Source organism: Homo sapiens, chromosome 7 (genome assembly GCF_000001405.40).
Source record: "Homo sapiens chromosome 7, GRCh38.p14 Primary Assembly".
Classification (NCBI taxonomy): domain Eukaryota; kingdom Metazoa; phylum Chordata; class Mammalia; order Primates; family Hominidae; genus Homo; species Homo sapiens.
Genome location: NC_000007.14, coordinates 93,961,760 through 93,968,256, shown reverse-complemented (window position 1 = coordinate 93,968,256; position 6,497 = coordinate 93,961,760). Strand labels below are relative to the sequence as shown.

At 33.7% G+C, this 6,497-nt stretch overlaps 1 protein-coding gene across 2 annotated transcripts in view; it reads left to right on the top strand.

Annotated features, from left to right (window-relative positions):
• Positions 1–5,495, top strand: part of BET1 (Bet1 golgi vesicular membrane trafficking protein) — a 41,594-nt gene extending 36,099 nt beyond the window's left edge. For both annotated transcript variants that reach the window (NR_133909.2, NR_133908.2), the window contains one exon: positions 2,570–5,495. The gene's annotated coding sequence lies outside the window, so the exon portion shown is untranslated. The remainder of the gene's footprint in view (positions 1–2,569) is intronic.
• Positions 5,496–6,497: the final 1,002 nt, after the last annotated feature.

The following is a 6,497-nucleotide window of genomic DNA, read 5'->3' as shown; positions in this document are numbered from 1 at the left end:
GGTGTATTTCTGTAAGACAATGCCAACGCTATTGCAATTCTTTCTAAAAATAATTGAAGACTTATTAATACATTATATTTGGTTAGTTATGTTTGCTAATGTTTAGAAATTGCATAAATCATCAAGAGAGTGATTATGCTAAACTTGAAGTGGAGGTGGTAGGAGTAGTATGGAGGAAGTGAGCTCATAACCAAATTGAAATGTTTGTGAATTGAATGTGCTCATTATTACGTTAAGAAAATGGAAGGATAAAATGGGATGTCATTTTAACATCCCACATGAAGCAAACAATTGATTTAATATATTCTGGTTAGAATGTGTCAAATGAGTTTCTGCCAGAAGTAAATTTGGTTGTTTCCTTTATGGGCAAAGAAACACACTCAATGGAAATGCCCATTGTTACTTTGGGTTTTCAAAATACATTGTGATAACTGCAGAGATGTCACAAATAGAACTGGATTCTATTATTCTGATGGTTTATATAATAAATTATATGGAATTACACTTATTGAAGTGAGAAATGCAGTACTTAATCATATATGAATAACAGAGCCATTTTTATCCTTCAGTACAAGATATTTTTTAAGAAATTGTTAAAGATTTTAAAATAGACACTTTGAATTGTTAATAGACGTCATAATATAAAACTCATTTCAGCCTTTCAAAATAGATATAAAATCTGGTTTTAGTTTCTTAACAATTGCAAAGACAAAAAACCTGTCATTTACATATTCTAAATGTTTCCTTTCAGTCTTATTAATTCTTAGATCTCATCCTATGAGAATTGATCCCAGTAATATCACATGACACAGGAATTTCACAACTAAAGTTGATGGCCCTATATTAAGGATTTCTCAATAGTGAGGTAGTTAAATACAATATTGCCTACTCTTGTAGTATGAGGATTACCACTATTATAAATAACTGTGACCACCAAACCACATTGGATCAATTAGAAGAAAAGTGTTACCAGACTATGAATACCTACTGTAAGGTTGAGTGAGTAAGGCACAGGAGACTCTTTAAGAGATTATGAAGGTGGGATGGAAATCTAAAGCATTCCAGAAGTTGCCATACGGTTTGAGAATATAGATATGTATTCATTAAAAGTACCTTACACAATTGTACTGATGATTCTTCCTATTACTGAGAAGTAACAAACAGAATTACCATAGGAAGAATTGCTACCATAGTGGAATGGCAGTGAATGAAAAATGGTTTCCATTGCTTAAAGCTTCCTAATTCATAGGCATATTCTTTTTAAGTCTGTATATATTACCCTTACAATGTCCACACAAAATGGAACATGGTTAAAAAGAGTATATTTAGAAGCATAAGAAACATCTCATTTAGGATGCTTTAGACTAAAACAGAAGAACTAACTCCAGATGGTCCAAATATAACCCAAAGCCCAGAGGTAGAGAAGTCCCAGGGAAGGTTGATTCAGTGGTCCAAGGATGCTACCAAAGATTCTTTTTTCTTCCCCCTGTATTGCTAAACTACCAATCCTTTGGGCTGATATCCAAATAGCTCTATCATACTAATATACCATACCCTCAAGAAGTCTGCACAAACTAATTATGACATTCCCAAAAGGAACTAAAGGACTAGAAGATAGTATATTCCCCTATCTCCCACCAAAAAAAAAAAAAGAGGAATTTTTCCTGGTACCTCCGTCAGACTTTCAAGTGACATTGGCTAGAATTGCATTATGTGCTTATTTCTAAAACAAGCACTAGAAAAGGAAATGGCATGACCTTCATTTGCTTAAAAGAATCAAGATTTGCCCCCTGCAAGTAAAGAGAGCTCTATGATAGAAGCAATATATACATACCAGGTTTTAATTCTATTTAAATATTGTTCAAATTCATTAAAAGTATTTCATGTATGAACCAAAATTTGCATTTTCAGAACAAAAACATGCATCTCTCAGTTTATATTATTTCATTGTTTTAAATTTTAAATATAAATAAAAACTCAAAGCAAGCACTTCTTGGAAGAGAAGAGGGATGATATGAAGAGTTGAGAAGCATCCCATTCTCTCTGCTTCTTTTACTTGGGACCAATCAATCAATTCTCCATAGGAGAGATGTGGATTCTTTGTAAATATCAGAATCATATCAGTAATTTTAGTGATTCCAGGTAGCTTAAGTGACTTCTTAAGCTCAGTGACCACCATTAATATTCCCCTGTTGGCTATTTTGACCCTGTTCACTTTTAAAAAATGCCTTCATTTTTGCTAATCATAAGATGAGTACTTAGTCAGTGGTGGCGGAGGAAGTCAGAGTGGTGGGAGCAGTCTACTCCAAGTACAGACTTAAGAGTACACATGGTCTGTAAAAACTTTAAAAGCAATAAGAAAACTAAGTAAAGGTCTATCTTGTTTTCTTATCACTATCCACCAGAAATATTTTAAATGTCGGTAATAAAGTACTTCTCTTAGAAAAAATTATTTATTGATTTCATTTCTAAGTTGCTTTGGTTACTGCTGAGTTTCAATAATATATTTTAAGCTTCAAATTAGCATATTTTATTACTTATACTTTCATAAATCTTGTATTTTACACAGAAATTAATGCAGAGAACTCCTAGTTGGGCAATCAGTTCCAGACTCCACAGACCCCAGGACACAAACTCTATTCAAGAATCTGTTTGTGATGGTTCAGAAGTTTTCAAGCTTGCTTTGGGTACAAACTGTATTTCCAACACTTCTAGCCCTATATATACCTGTCAATGATATTATACTTATAAATACAAAAGTCCTTATTATGGATGAAGAAATAGATTAATTAAAATTGTATAGATTATATATTAGCATATGATATTATACATCATTATAAAAACGAAGAAATAGGACTTGAGCTTTTTTTCAATTTTGCCACTGTTAAAATCACTTGAATCTTTACCTTTGGGAACTAGCATTCACAAAATGGTGAATACTAACTCTTATCCTGATTTGCTACAAGAAACTAGTCTAGAATGAGCAGTGTAATTATTAGCACTACACTCTTTCTATGCTTCACACACTACAGAATCTTCATCTTCAAGTCTGTAATTCCTCAAAGTACATGGATCAACATTTAGGCTTCTGGAGGCCAGCAGTGAACGAGGCAGTGCAAAAATGACCATAATTCACAGTCAACCAGCCAACATGTGTAGCTCCGGGCACATGTTATTATATTCACTGGATGTTAACAGGATTTCTAGTTAGATTGAGAGATGAGAAACTCTTTAAAAAGCTCATTCTCTTTGGTAGAATGATTTATTTTCCTTTGGATAGATACTCAGTAATGGGATTGCTGGGCTAAGTGGTAGTTCTGTTTTAAATTAGTTGAGAAATCTCCAAGCTGATTTCCACAGTGGCAGAACTAATTTACATTCCTACCAACTATGTATAAGTGTTCTCTTTTCTCTGCAGCCCCGCCAGCATCTGTTATTTTTTGACTTTTTAATAATAGCCATTTTGACTGATGTGCAATCTCGTGGTATCTCATTGTGGTTTTGCTTTGCATTTGTCTAGTAATTACTGATTATGAGCATTTTTTAAATATGTTTCTTGGCCGCTTGAATGGCTTCTTTGGAGAAGTGTCTGTTCACATCCTTTACCCACCTTTTAATGGGGTTGTTTTTTTGCGTATCGATTTAAGTTCCTTAAAGATTCTGGAAGTTACATGCACTCATATGTTCATCGCAGTGCTATTCACAATAACAAGGACATGGAATCAACTGGGGTGCCCTTCAACAGTGGACTGGATAAAGAAAATGTGGTACATATATGCCATGGAATATCACATAGCCATAAAAAAGAATGAAATCATATCCTTTGCAGCAACATGCATGCAGCTGGAGGTCATAATCCTAATCGAATTAATGCAGGAACAGAAAACCAAATACTGTATGTTCTTACTTATAAGTGGGAGCTAAACATTGAGTGCACGTAGATATAAAAATTGGAACAACAGGCACTGTAGAAGGGGGAAGGGAGGAAGGAAGGTATGGGTTGAAAAACTAGCTATTGGGTACTATGCTCACTACTTGGGTGAGAAATTCATATCTCAAACCTCAGCATCATGCAATATAACCATGTAAAAAATCTGCACATGTAACCCCTGAATCTAAAATAAAAGTGGAAATCGTTTTTATTTTTGTATTATTTATTTATTTATTTTTATTTTTATTTACTTATTTTTTGAGATAGAGTCTCGCCCTGCCACTGAGGCTGGAGTGCAGTGGCGCAATCTTGGCTCACTGCAACCTCTACCTCCTGAGTTTAAGCGATTCTCCTGGCTCAGCCTCCTGAGTAGCTGGGACTACAGGCACACAGCATCATGCCTAGCTAATTTTTGTATTTTTAGTAGAGACGGGGTTTCACTATGTTGGTTGAAGGCTGAGGCTGACGGATCACCTGAGGTCAGGAGTCTGAAATTGTTTTTAAAAAGTATGTTTTGATATAAAGCCTTTTTTCAATTTTTTTTAAAGTCTAATTCTTGACAGAGCAACAGAAACAAATAAAGTAGAAGCCCAAAAGGAAATTTGTCATTACTAAAACCAACCAGGCTCAGGTGACTTTTCTTCTCCATTCAGACGGGAACTTAAATGAACAAAAATATCTTTAACAAATTGAAGACAACTTAAAGATCAGTTTATTTATTCATTCAACAAATATTTATTAACTGGCTGCCACATATCCATCATTGTTCTAAATTCTGCAGATATAGTAGTCAATTAAGATCCTTCCCTCAGTGAAGACTTAACTTTGAGTGGAGAGAACAAAAAATGGACAAATAAAATATATAGTATGTCAAATGATAAGTGCTATGAAAAAAAATGACTACTAGATTCAGCATGCATGTATACTGACTTGCTCTTTAAATTTTAAGAGTTTTAGGAAATGTCTACAGTATTAGTTTTCTTCTCATACTGCTATAAAGACATACCTGAGACTGGGTAATTTATAAAGAAAAGAGGTTTAACCAGCTCATGGTTCTTGGGGCTATGCAGTTTTCTGCTTCTACAGAGGCCTCAGGAAACTTACAACCATGGTGGAATGCGAAATGGAAGTAGACAGGAGAGAGTTTCAGTTTTAGTCTTAAAAGAAAAAAAAATACATCTCTAACTAACCCCAGTCCTTGTGTTAGCAACAACTACTCCTTTTGACTGGTTAGGGAATGAGCATCTGTGACATGGGCTTGATGAAGTCATGGCCAATGTTAACTTTAAATAAGTTTGAAACTATTGTTGATACAAAACAAATAAATTGCAGAGGATTTTTTCCAAACATCCCATAAATGCATAGAATTGAAAGCAAGTTTCATTTCCAATAGTTAAAGAGTCTAATGTATCCACTTTTAATTATAGCCAAGATGTTTACCATCTTATTTGATGTTCTGTGCTGTGAACTGTTGGGAATCTATTAGCTCAGTATTTTGAATTTCAGATAATGTATCCTGTGTTTTTTTTTTAATAAAGGTTTATCTGACCATTAAATTACAAAAGCTTTGAACCCTGTGTGTAAAGAAATAAAATCAGTCTTAGGAATTTATCTTAGTAACTGGTGATTTTCAATTTATATTATTAAACAGTACTTGACAGTTTTCTATTAGCTTTCAAGAGATTTAACTTAGTTTCATCTTTGTTTATTGTGAAACTGGACTTCCAGGCTCATCAGAGTTGGTTTGCAGGGTTCAGCTATAATTTCAGACTATGGGTAAATGTAGAAAAACACTAAAACAAAGACTATTTTTTTTGTAACATGGTTGAATTTTCATATATTCCATTTGACATCATTTATCTTCCCTCTGATTTCTTTTCAATGACAATCTTTTGACAAGACTAGAAATCTACTGTTGAGGTAAAGATAAATCCAGAATATAGATGATGAGTCATATTTTGTACATAGGTCAGCTTATTATAAAAACTTGTATATAAACTCGGTAGCATGTAACTGTTCTATAAAAAGACCAGGAGATTGATCATTGAAAAATTACATCTGTGTGGAACGATTTCTGAATGGGATCAGAAATACTGAGGCAATTCTTAGTATCTTCACTAGAACTAGAATCATTCCCATAGAACACCATACTAACTTTAAAGAGTGATATTTGGTATGAAAAAAGACATTCACCACAACTAATGAACTATGGTATTGTTAAGAAACTAATTTCTAAAAACAAATATATGCCAATGAAAAGCACACAACTTCTCAGAAATCTTTGAAATGTTATAGAACTTTATCAAACACTTTCATAACACTGGTCCATAGTTTGGTACCAATTGAGTTGGAATTTTATAAGCATGTATATGGACATATAACACACATATATGTATGGATGGATATATAAAATTGTGTTTTCTCAGTGAGGGGGAGTATTATCCGCTTCTATTATTAGTGTGGTAGACAGCCTCCAAGATGGTCCCCCAATCTCTCCATATAGTAGTAAGCCCACATGGCTATTGAGTATTTGAAAATGAAATCTCACAAGTTTACAAGCTTAAGG